The sequence below is a fragment of the Homo sapiens genome, chromosome 1 (genome assembly GCF_000001405.40).
Source record: "Homo sapiens chromosome 1, GRCh38.p14 Primary Assembly".
NCBI lineage: Eukaryota > Metazoa > Chordata > Mammalia > Primates > Hominidae > Homo > Homo sapiens.
Window position 1 is genome coordinate 117,648,463 of NC_000001.11, and position 12,332 is coordinate 117,660,794.

Here is a 12,332-nt window from a genome sequence, read left to right on the forward strand (position 1 = left end):
ATGAGAGAGAGAAAGAGAGAGAGAGAGAGAGGCAGTAAGTAAATGCTTCTTATTCCATACGGTAGAGCAGTAGGGGTTGTAATGGGGGTTTACGCACACTGCCTAATTAGCCCACGGTGAAAAGTGGCCAATTAGACCTTCAGCACCGTGCAAGGTGATGCAGAAGGGGTGGCATTTGCATGGTGTTTTGAAGGCCAAGGAAAAGAAAGTAGAGAAGGGGGACATGGATGAAGCTGGAAACCATCGTTCTGAGCAAACTATCGCAAGGATAGAAAACCAAACACCGCATGTTCTCACTCATAGATGGGAGTTGAACAATGAGAACACTTGGACACAAGGTGGGGAACATCACACACTGGAGCCCGTCATGGGGTGGGGGGAGAGGGGAGGGATAGCATTAGGAGATATACCTAATGTAAATGATGAGTTAATGGGTGCAGCAAACCAACATGGCACATGTGTACATATGTAACAAACCTGCACGTTGTGCACATGTGCCCTAGAACTTAAAGTATAATAATAAAAAAAAAAAAAAAAGAAAAGAAAGTAGAGAAGAGAAGCTATGTCAGTCCAGGAAAGAGCATGTGTATATTTGTAATCTATTGCTGTGTAACAAATTACCCCCAAACTTAGCAGCTTAAAACAACAAACGTTTATTACCTCACACTTCTGTGGGCCAGGCATTTAGAAGCAGCTTAGCTGGTAGACCTGGCCAGGATGTCCCCTGAGATTGCTACTGAGAAGTTGTCTGGACCTGCAGCCATCTGAAGGCTTGACTGAAGCTGGAAAATCTGCTTCTAAGCACTCTCCTGGGGCGATGGGCAAAAGCCTCTGTTCCTTGACGGCTGTTGGCCAGAGGCCTCAGCTCCTCATCACATGGGCCTCTCTGGAGGCTTCTTGGGTATCTGTGTGATGTGTCAGCCAGCTTTCCATAGAGTGCATGATGAGAGAGAAAATAAGCAGGAAGCCACAATGCCTTTTATGCCTTGGTCTCTGAAGTTGCTGTCATTTCCGCATTATTCCATGTTAGAAGGTAGTCCTAAAGTCAGCCCACACTGGAGGGAAAGGGAATCGGGCTCCACCTCATGAGGGGAAGAGTACTAAAGCATTTGCAGTCACATCTTAATTCTACCACCGAGTACATGAGGTATGGATGTTGCTGGCATGTGTAGAGGAAAGTGAGATGCCCGTTGTGGCTAGAATGGGTTAGTGTGGAATAGTTGGAGTAAAGGGGTGCCCAGAAATGAGACTTGAACTGGAGGCTGGGCCCTATGGTCAGAGCCTGGCATCCCAGGCTGCAGAGCTTGGGCTGCAGCTTGTTTCTCCAGGTGTACTCAGGCTCGAAGCACCCTGGGGCTGGGAGTGCCCTGCCTCTTAGTGGTATACTTAGTACTTTGCTGGGAGCTCAGCACCATGACTGGACATACTACCCAGAGGCAATGGGGCCACACAGGCTGGTTCCCTAAGAGATTCAGCCCCAGAGGAACTGTGAGGCCTCAAAGCTAATGGTGCTGGGCCACTCTGTGAGCTGACGGTCTCTCCTCAAATAGCCGCCAGCCGGGCCCAGTTGTACCCTGATGGAGTGGCACAGCCAGAGCTGCCCACCCTCCTCTGCCAGAGCCATCTCACATCTTAGAGGGGAGCAGAGTGCTGACCTGCCCCCACCAACACTCTTCACATCAGGGGTTCTGATAAGCCTGGTGGAAAATTTCAGCCACTCTTTTCAGGAAGATGTACACACATAACTTGTGCATTTGTGAGCCTGTTGGGGCTTTTCTAACCCCTCTTAGACCATCTAGGCACCTCTCCCCTACCACTCCTCCAGACCTCCCCCAGCTACAGGTTAAGAGATTTGCTGCTGTGCTGTGACTCCTCCATCCCAGACTCTCCTAGTGGGTGGGTTGGCAGGGGCAGGGGGTGGATGGGAAGAGACAGCTGGGCACTCCCCGTTTGAGTCCTCAATAAGATTGTCTCAGTAAGCTTTCTCCAAGTCCTTACTCTCTGGCTTTGGAAAGTTTCAAGCCTTTCCTAAGATTTTCCCGTTGTGGACACCTTTATGGTCACCTCCAACTCTAAACTCCTGATTCCACAGAACTAATTCAGTTCATGGGTTACCCTGAATCCCCTGTGCTACTCCTGTTCTGTGCCCCCATGGTCCCAGAGCCCAGAACCCCAATTTAGCTTCTTACATAATTCCACAAAACACCCTAAATTGTACGAGACATGGTGTTAATTATAGATGTGACTGTAAGTCTGTAGGAGGAGAGATTTATGTCATAGCATTCAGCGTTGCCAGATAACACCCAGGATACCCGGTTAAATTCAAATTCCAGATAAACAATGGATAATTTTTTTCATTGTATGTCTCTCCCTGCCTCCAACCCCCCATCCCTGAATTTTTTCCTAAATCTGGCAGCCCTAACAGCAATGCCAACAACCTTAAATTGCACGTTAGACATCCCTGGTCCTTGGTCTGCCCTCCATTGGGGATTTTTCATGGGCCATGGCCCCTCTGTCGTTCCCAGTGCCCCGCATCTCATTGGCTCTCTGCTCCCCCTCTCTGGTTTCCCTTCGCTCCGGTTCCTCTTTTGTCCTAGTGCAGGTTAGCTTGCATATCTTGCATATCCAAAACCATCCTGGCTCTGAGCACAACAAAAGGGCCTTTCATTCACCCAGATCTGCTCTCCTTCCAAGGTAGCTCCCTCTCTTACATAAATATCATATGATAAGACTCTTAAAGCAGGCCACCATGGTGACAGCAAGGCCTTGCCTTCCCCTCAGGATGGTCACACAGCTCCCTTGCAGGCTGTGATGTTCCTGGTAGAGGAGGTATGTGAGGCTGAACTATTCACACATTCAGTGCATAGTTATTGCATCGTATACTTAATAGGCCCTGGGTATAAAATGATGAATACAATGAGGTGTGGGGCATTGAGTGGTGAGTGAGACCTCAGGGCAGGGAGCCACAAGATCCTGTAGCTGGTTCAGGGTGGAGGGATACTTAGTGAGCTATGAGATCCCATAGGAAGGGTCAATCTCAGAGGGCTTCTTGGAGGGAGTGTCATTTCAGGCAGTCCAGGATGGATAAAAGGGACTTCACAGGCCAAGAAAAGGGGACAGATACTCATTCTAAGCAGAGAAAATATAGGTACAGGGAGTGAGAGAGAAGTTGGCATGGTGGGAAATGTACAGGTAAGGCCAGTAAGATGAGGCGGTCCTGAGGTTTGTGCTGAGGTTGGTGCACATCTGTTTGTTATATGCCCCTGCTTACAGCAGAAAGAGCTCACCTCCTTTTGTTCACACGTAAGTGACAGCAAGTGTATTTATTTCCTGTTGTCCTGTAACAAATTAGCACAAACTCAGCACTTTTAAGCAACATGCATTTATTATCTCATATATTCTGAGAGTCAGGAATCAGAGCACAGCTTAGCTGGGTTCTCTGCTTCAGGGTCGCTTTCAAGGCTGCAGTCAAGGTGTTGGTCAAGGCTGGGCTCTCATCTGAGGCTCGACTGTGGAAGAATCCACTTCCAAGCTCACTGATGTGGTTGCTAGTGGAATTCACTTCTTTGCAGATTGTTAGACTGAGGGCCAACACTGTCTGTCAACTGGAGACCACTCTCAGTTCCTCGCACATGGAGCCCTCTGAAGTGGCACTTGCTTCATTGAAGGATGCAAGCCAAGAAGGCAATAGAGAGAGTCTTTCAGTAAGATTGAAATTATAATTCATGTAATATAATTACGGAAATGACATCCTACCACCTTTGCAGTGTTCTTTTGGTTAAAAGCAAGTCATAGGTCCTGCCCACAGTCAACAGAGAGACAGACAAAGGGACCTACATGCCAGGAGGCAGGGAGCATTGAGAGCCATCTTAGAATCTGTCCACCAGGTTAAGCAACCGTGAGTTGTGTGAATATGTGATGGGGCATGGCTGGCAGTGATGGGTCCCTTTGGGGAGGGAAGTGCCATATTGGTGAGAGAGAGGGGCAGGGAGACCTACCCAGGACAGATTTGTGCAAACCCACATGCTGGTCTCATTGGGTTAGGGAGAGCTGGCCTTCTCTTAGCCACCCCTGCACAGAGATGACATTCTTTCTCTGGAAGAAGGCCTGATGCCTCTGAGTTGGCTTCCTGTTATGACAGGCCATGATGAATGGGCATAGGCCCCTTCATCCTAGTTTCACCCCTGGGGCCCTGTATACCTTGCCAAGGAGGTTGATAGGACATGAATTAGGGTAGTAGCCATAGGGATGGGAAAGAAAGACTGAAAAAGGATTTAGAAAGTAATATTGGATGACATATGACAGATTAGATGTGGAAGAAATGATGTGTAGGGAGAGGCGTGGGAATACGTTTCTGCAGTGGGAAATTTGGTAGACGGTGATGTCATTAACCAAGAGAAGAAAACATGGATAGAAGGTCTGGGGTCTTTGGTCATGCTGATTTCCAGAAGAGGATGCAGATAATTACCAGTATAGTTTCAGAGCTCCAGACCAGGAGGCCGGCTAGGGATGGACAACTGGGAATCACAGTGAGGAGATGGTAACTGGAGCCTCCTCTGTGGTGTAAAGCACCCAAGCAAGCAAGAGTCAGCCAGGACAGATTCCTTGAGGAGCATCTATCCAGGAAGAATTAGCAAAGGTGGAAAAACCGGAGAAGGCTGAGGAGTGGACAGAGAGGCGGGTGGAGAACCAGGACAATGCAATGTCCTAGGAGCCAGGGGAGGAGCGGTTGGCAGCATCAAGTCCTGTACAGACAGGCGAATGGATGCCGCACATCACTGTGACTTTGTAGAGTCAGGTGCAGGGAGCAGAGGAGACAAAGCCCTATCCCAGGGGGCTGAAGAGTAAATGGGAGACAATTTAAAGAAAAGGGACTAAGGCTTAGCAGGCAAAAGTGTGAAATTGGAGTGCTGGCTCCACAGGTTGCCAGCTGAGCGGCATCTAGGCAGGCCCTGGCCTCTTGGAAGAAGAGGGCACACAGCACCCCTCCTAGGGCTGTTGTGAGGTGTAGTGAGGTTGTGCCTGCCTGTGACAGCACAGGAGGAACAGCACAGAGCTCATCTCTACTTCTGCTCCTGCTCCCGCCAGTGTCTTCTTGAAAAATGGTCTTTTAAAACTATTGCCCTCCCCAGCTTACATGTTCCCTCAGTGTGTGGGATAACATTCACATTCCCTGCACGAGTTGGCCTCTACTTATCTCCCCATCCTCACACCCTCGCTCCTGTCCTCCTTGAACATGTGAAGCTCTTTCAAACCTCGGAGCCCTTCCCTGCAGAGTTTCCCCTGCGTGGGCCTTTCTTCCGACTTAGTTGTTGTCAGTCACCCTTCTGGGAAGTGATGGCTTAAATGTCATTTCCTAAATAATTCCTCTGGCTCCTGACCTGAGTTAGGCTTCCTGGCATCTTCTCCAGCACCTGGCACAGTTCCAGATGCATAGCAGGAATGCAAACAAATGCTCGTCCATGAATAAAGGAGAATACCAGCAACTGGCTGTGTGACCTTGGGCAAGTCACTTCACCTCTCTGTGCTTTAGAGTTTCCTCCTCTGTAGTAGGAAGTAGGACTATGTATCTCTAAGATCTCTTTCGGCTCTGGCAATCTTTGGCTCTTTAATGCTAGTGTCTGTACAGGTTTCTCATAAGGCTTCACGGAATAATGCAAGTGAGAGCCTTGTTGAATTGAAGGGGGAGGGGGAGGAGGCTAGGGAGCTTGGCAGAGGCAGCGGAGTACCCACAACGAGGCCCACTCACCCACTCATTTCCTCAGCCACCCACGGGGCCTGCAGTCCCCACGTGTAGCCTGATAGGCAGGGACTAGGGGACAGCCAGAATCAAAACCACAGCCTCCCGTTTTTAGTGTGTGGGCTTCAATTCGATGAGCTAGGGAGGAGACTTCTGGAGAAAAAATACTCTGTAGGGTCACATACACCCAGACAGTGTGGACACCTGCTACACACACATACCAATATGTGCATTTACAACTAATTACATACAAAGGAAAGCACACACACACCCAGAGGTGCACAAGCACACGGTCAATGCCCTGCAGAGCCCACCTGCAGCTCCCTGAGCCCAGGACAGCTCTGTTACCCTCTGAGTCTCTGGGTCAATCTTTACCCTTGCCCTCTGGGTCTTCCCTCTCTCAACAAACCCTGAGGCTGGGCACTGAGGCCTAGGGGATTCAGTGATTTTACTGATAAGGCTGAAAACAGGCAGGAAGGGAGGGTAACTTACAGTGCTCTCCGGATGTTACAGTATTTGCATTTCCACAGTCTATGTGTCTGAAAAAAACTGGGTTTAGTCTAGAAACTTGGTGGTACGCAGGTGTAGCTTTCAAGAGAACTGGGAAACAATGCTGTATGGAGATGGTAACCACTTGTGAGCTGGGTCAGTTTCACTATTTACTATACAGGCTGGCCATGATCTCATTGAACTCTCAGAAGTGCCTTCTGCACAGATAATTTATAGATGATGAAACTGAGACTTGGACATGTAAAGTAATTTGCCCAAGGCATGCAATTTGTAATTGGCAGATCTGGGACTCAGGGAGTAGGCTTCTGATTCCAAAGACAAGTGCTCTTACCACCCCTACCAGCTCAGCCTCTTGCCTCTGGTGTGTGCCCCTGCCCCCTCCCGCCTCTGGGCTCCACATTCTGGCTGCTGACTCCCTCACACATGGCCTGGTGGAGCCCCTACCCATGCTGAGTGGGGCTGGGAAAATGGTGAATTTTCTAGAAAATTGTGAAAGCGCTGCCTACGAGAATGGCTGCCTGGGACACTCCAGCTGCAGGCCCTGGGGCAGTGCCCGTTTGGAAGGTGCAGAGTTTTCTGGAGATAAGCAAACATGAGTCAGGAGAAAGCGACAAACAGCTCACCCCTGCAGATTGGCTGCCAGGACGTGAGATGATCATGCAACGTCAAGCTAACAGCCTCAAATCTTTTTGAAATCGAGTGCCCAGTTGACAGTTAAATCAGTCCGGAGACACAACTTCTCTCCCTCTCAAAACATATACACACACGCGCACACGCGTGCACACACACACGCACACACACACACACTTGATGTGGATTGTGGGACCAGAGCATTCAGGACTTTACAGCTCTAAAGGACCTTCGAGCTCATTGAGCTCTTGACCACCTTAATGTCAAGAATCGCCCAAAGTACCCATTTAAAAGACAAATTCTAACCTCAGCCCATTCCAGGTCTCCAGAATTCTAAGGGAATCTCTAAAAATCTTCTCAAGAAGCTGGATGTTTTACCAGGTTCCTGAGAGATTCTCATCACATCAGAGTTTGTTCCTTCAGGGTTTTGGAACACTGAATCTAGACTAACCCCTTCATTTTATAAGCAACATTTTAGTGATCTACAACATTTGTGTGAGCTGCGCAAAGCCACACAGCAAGTTGGCAGCAGGGCAAACGTGGATTCCCAGCACCGGGCCTCTCTGTCACACCACTCTTCTGACCACATAGAAAAGGAAGGATGGAAGGAAATCAGAGTTACTGAGCGCCTGCCATGGGTTGGGGCATGCTGGACAATTCAGTAGTAAGAGCAAAGGGAACCCCCTGGGTGCCAAGTGCTGTGCAGGGCACTTTTCCTGCTTTTGGAATTTAATACTTATAGTAGCTCTTGGCTGGGAATGGTTACCCTCCTCACGTGCGAGATGAGGCAATGGGCACACAGGGGCTGGGCACTTCTCAGGACCCAGAGGCCCCAAGAGCTAGAGGCAGAATTTGAAGCTGGACCTCAGCTGGAACCTTGAGAGCCCAGGCTCTGAAGCACTGTGCTGCGTCAGCTCTCAGAGACGCACTTGATTCTGTTGCTGATTTCATCAAAAGCTCACAGAAACCTTGTGATGTAGGCGGCGTCTTGTAGAGTTGAAGAAGCCAAAGCCCGGGGTGACAACAAAACCTGCCCAAGATCACACAGCCAGCAAACCATGAAGGCAGATTCAGCCCGGGTCTATCTTGTGTCAAACCCACACACTCCTCACCACATGTGGCGGTTTCGGAAGCTCCTTCCTGGGGCTCCAACTACAGACTACCTCTTCTGACAGTCTCACCCCCGCTGTCCCAGCTCGAACCTTCACCCTCTTTGGGCAGTCTGCATCTGGGGGCCCCCTCACACCCAAGTGCTACTGTGTTTACACTTCTGTTTGTTCCTGAATTCTCTTCTGACCCTCAACTGCTTTGAAGTTCTACAGCCAGGCTCTGCACAGTTTTTGAAAAGCGGAAGACAGTAAATCTTGCAGGCTCTGGGGTCCAGACCATCTCTGTTGCGACCACTCAGCTCTGCCCTTGCAGTGTGTTTAGTTCAGCCATAGACAATTCGTGAATGCGTGAGCATGGTTCAGTACAGCTTTAGTTCATGAGCTGTTGTTTGCCCATTCCGATGTTCTAGAAGAATGCTGGGGATTTGAAATGCTGAAATTTTCGAATGCTGAAAATCCATTCGAGCAGATTTTTATTTGATTCTGCTCTTTATGGGACAGAAGACAAGTCTGTTTGGGAAGGCATGTGTTTGAAAAGAGCCTAAAGGTGTCTGACCATTGAGACCCTAGTGCCTAAAAATCTGGAAGAGACTGCCTAGTTCTCAGGGAATGTTCCTTCCTTCCTTTATTCATTCATAGACTAGTTTGGAACACCCGCCATGTGACAGGCATCGTGTTGAGCCTTGGTGAGACAGACAGGCAAGTCTTTGCAGAGCTTATAGCTCAGTTACTGCTGGGGCTGCCAATGTGATGACTAATAGCAAAGAGTGTAAAGAAGGACACGACTTAGTTGGGGGCTGGGGAAGACTTCCCAGAAGAAGCAATGGGTAAGCTGATTCCCCTGACTGGGAATCCAAGTGAGGGCAGAGACAAGGTACAGTGTAATCAATGCAGGGAAAGAAACATCAGGTGACAGGCTTTTACATGCCATTTTTAGAGAATATGTGCACTGCTGTATTGACCCTTTTGGGAGGGTCTGATTCTTTTAGACAACAGGAACATCCGCTTTTCCCACTGGCAGATGGATCAGGCTGTTGATCCTGTTCTGTGATCCAAATGGCTCAGTCTCCATACTGGGAGATGGGGAAGGTATAGCTGATGTTTTGTGTGAGTCGGTGAATTGTCACAGAAGTAGACAAAACCATGCAAAATTTCCATTTGTTTCTTTGGATTTACCTCTGAGCCGAGTCTCTCAGATCATTAGAAAAAAAAAAAAAAAACACCCCAGATCACAGAGTCTAATAGATAGAATGTTATCTTTAAGGCAACGCTTAAAACTCAATGTTCGTAATGTAATATTTATTTAAAACAAAATAGCTTAACTGTTTTTTTTTAAACGAAAAAATCTTACCTAATTAGTTCCTTGTTCTTTTGGCCCAAAAAAACTCAATTTTACTTTGTTAAAGAAAATATAAGAAATACCAACTACATGAGAAAGTTAAACTGATGTTTGATTCAAATACTAATTATTTTTATTTTTTAATTTTTAAAAAATTTTTTTCACAAAATTATTCACTCATTTTATACACATTTTTGAGCTCATACCATGTGCCAGGCATTGGGCTACAAAGATGAAAAAGACATCAATCCATTTTTATTTTTCAATATATTTCCCAGAACTTGTGTCATCTTAGGAGTGTCCGTGCTGCTGATTGGGCTCAGGGCACAGGTGCTGCTGGATGGTGTTTGGTGCTTTATGTGGTAACCTATTTCCCCAACAGGACATCATGGCTGCCAGGACGAAAGCGTATGCCAGTGGGCTGCATTGACCATGTGGCTTTGTGCATGTTTGGGGATGATTACAAGGATAATAGAGAGCATTTGGGGGACATTAGTGGCAGCACAGCACAAATGAAGCCAGTGCGTGGCCTGTCTCCTCCTTGCACGGTGCTTCTGGCTTTCTGCTGGTTAATACAAGATGCCATGGATAGATGCTCTTGGCAAATGTCCCTTGGGCTGCTGGCTGTTCACATTGCCCTTGAAATCTGAAATACACACCCTAGGGATTGAAAACTGCTGGAGGCTTCATGTTCATGGAGGGAAGCTGAGCTGTATTGGTGAGAGGAATGGCTGAAAATAAGTCCCTAGAGTAGCTTGGTGTGGAGTTTCTAAACAATTTCACATCCAGCAGGTTCCAGGAAGGGCACAAGGCTACCCAACCAGGTCAATGAAAGGAGGCCATTTGTTGAGTGAGGATGGGAAGGGATGGGCACCAAGGAGGGGCCTGCTGTGTGTGTGTTTGAGGGGGTGTGGGATGCAGAGGGAGGGGGAGGTACACCAGCCTGCAGTCTTGCATGACAGGGACTTGGAGAAGGGTCTCAAGGTCCTGATGTGAAGAGGATTGAAGCTGGCCTCAGAGGAAGCTAATCGTGGCATGAAGGAGACCCTGTGCTGGGGCCTCAGTGTGTGTTGTGGTTCTGTGGGGACAATTAGGGTTTCTGGGTTTCCTGAGCTGCAAAGCATCCTGCTCTCAACACCAGTGCACCAGGTGGCCCACGTCAGCGAGGCAGGAAGGAAAGGGCCCTTCACCCTTCCAGGTGTCTGTTTTACCCCCAGTTGTAGTTTCCAGAGCTCCAGGAGGTTTTTGCTTATGCCTAGTTTGCTGAACTTAGTACAGGAGGAGCCCATCCTGTGCATGTACCAACTACCAGGTTGGCAAATAGGTTTCATCCTGAGTGCCAATTCTGGTCAATGCAGGAGCTTCCTGGAGGACTTTGCTGAGACAGAATTCTTAGGCCACCTCTGGCCCTGCAGGAAAGAGGCTGTGATCAATTATTGATCCCTGCCAGGGATATGCCACCAACTTACCATCTCTATGACTCAGTTGTATTTCCCTAGACCCACTTGTGTAGACCCACGTGCTACCTAGACCTATGTGTGCAGTCTTGTGGGCACTCCATAAATACCTGTGAATGAAATTTAATCTACCTAGAGTGCCTCTCCTCTTGAGTGTCCAGTAGATTCTGTACTTCCTCAGATGGCTTAGCAGGTGAAAAGGGGAATATCCCTTTCGAGTTATCCTTGGAAACCTTATTGTTGGGCAGAGCAGGAAGGATGGGGTAGATGCCTTCATTCATTCTGCAGCTGTTTATTGAGTGTTCACTGTGGGCTGAACCATGGAGGCTGGGTGCTGGGGATACACAGTGTGTGCTGGAGCTGGGGACAGACTTGAGGCCCCCTCTCTCTGCTGAGGTAGAGAGCAGCGAAGGCACCTCACTGCTCAAAGGAGTCAGAGAAGTCTGTGCTTCTCAGTGGCTGAGGGGCTGGGGAGGAAGTCCTCTGCCAGAGCACGGGAACCTTGGCCTCAGGCCTGACAGGTGGCCCTTTTTACCACTGTTCTGCAGGCCTCCTGGGCTCCCTCTGGGGATGCTTGCAGCTTTCACTGAGCCAGTAAGCTCTTCTCTCGCCTGTGCACACTGGCAGAGGACTTGAAGTGCTTCCCAAAAATAAGCTGGTTGCCCCCGGGTCCTGCTAAGTTCTGGCAGTTCCAGAAGAAGCAGATAAAGAATGCAGAAGGTCCTCTGCCTTCAGTCTACCAGGTTGTCTCCCCTCCCCTCAGCCAGCCCCTTCCAAAGCCCACTGGGTAGGTCTGGTTTCTCATCCTCAGCACATGCAATCGTTAGATAAGAATGTTCCAAGAACCTGACTAGCAAGAGTTTCATTACCACTCATTTGGGTAAGTCATGATGTGCCTGTCCTTGTGATCAGCTCCTAAAAGCTCAGAATTTGCCATTTCATGCACTTAAAATGGTTAAAGAAGTGTTTTTGGGAAAACGCAGATGTTAATATTTCAAGTCACATAATAACTTTACAACTATCTTGTAAATACAAGTAGGAGCATTTTTGGTTTCATTTTGTATTCCGTTTACTGAAAAATTAAATAAATTAAAATCTTACCTGTTGAAACATGTATATGTGGATCTGTTCATGCACATTTATACCCTCATGTGTATAAGGAGCCACCATCACATGTGCTTATGCAGATGTCCATGTGTGAGTGTGCAGCGTACACACACACACACACACACACACGTCCTCATGCCCACACGCTAGCCTTTTGTTCTAGTTTCTGATCTTCTGTTATGGTTAGTTTGTAAAGAATTGTGTGTCCCACAACGTGAGGCTTGGAGACATAAGTGTTAGCTGCTACATCTCCTTAACGTATTTTTGTTTTCTCAATCTTCCTTTCATTACTCTAGATATTTGTCATACATTCAGTTACAAATTCATGGCCATCCAAAAGCTTCCCCAGGTATGTGTCCTTCTTCCTGCTTCTGGAGGCAGAGTGGTGTGGCAGGATGAGCATGGCCTTTGAAGTCACTCATGTCATTCACTGGACATGA

General features: G+C 48.2%; 4 annotated features.

Moving 5' to 3' along the window:
* Positions 6,551-6,710: an enhancer, noted in NCBI's record as "active region_1583". NCBI's record gives its function as "activates an Ori minimal core promoter by ATAC-STARR-seq in GM12878 lymphoblastoid cells {active_cell/tissue: GM12878}" and the evidence as "EXISTENCE:reporter gene assay evidence [ECO:0000049][PMID:35858748]".
* Positions 7,529-7,598: an enhancer, noted in NCBI's record as "active region_1584". NCBI's record gives its function as "activates an Ori minimal core promoter by ATAC-STARR-seq in GM12878 lymphoblastoid cells {active_cell/tissue: GM12878}" and the evidence as "EXISTENCE:reporter gene assay evidence [ECO:0000049][PMID:35858748]".
* Positions 7,749-7,858: an enhancer, noted in NCBI's record as "active region_1585". NCBI's record gives its function as "activates an Ori minimal core promoter by ATAC-STARR-seq in GM12878 lymphoblastoid cells {active_cell/tissue: GM12878}" and the evidence as "EXISTENCE:reporter gene assay evidence [ECO:0000049][PMID:35858748]".
* Positions 8,219-8,358: an enhancer, noted in NCBI's record as "active region_1586". NCBI's record gives its function as "activates an Ori minimal core promoter by ATAC-STARR-seq in GM12878 lymphoblastoid cells {active_cell/tissue: GM12878}" and the evidence as "EXISTENCE:reporter gene assay evidence [ECO:0000049][PMID:35858748]".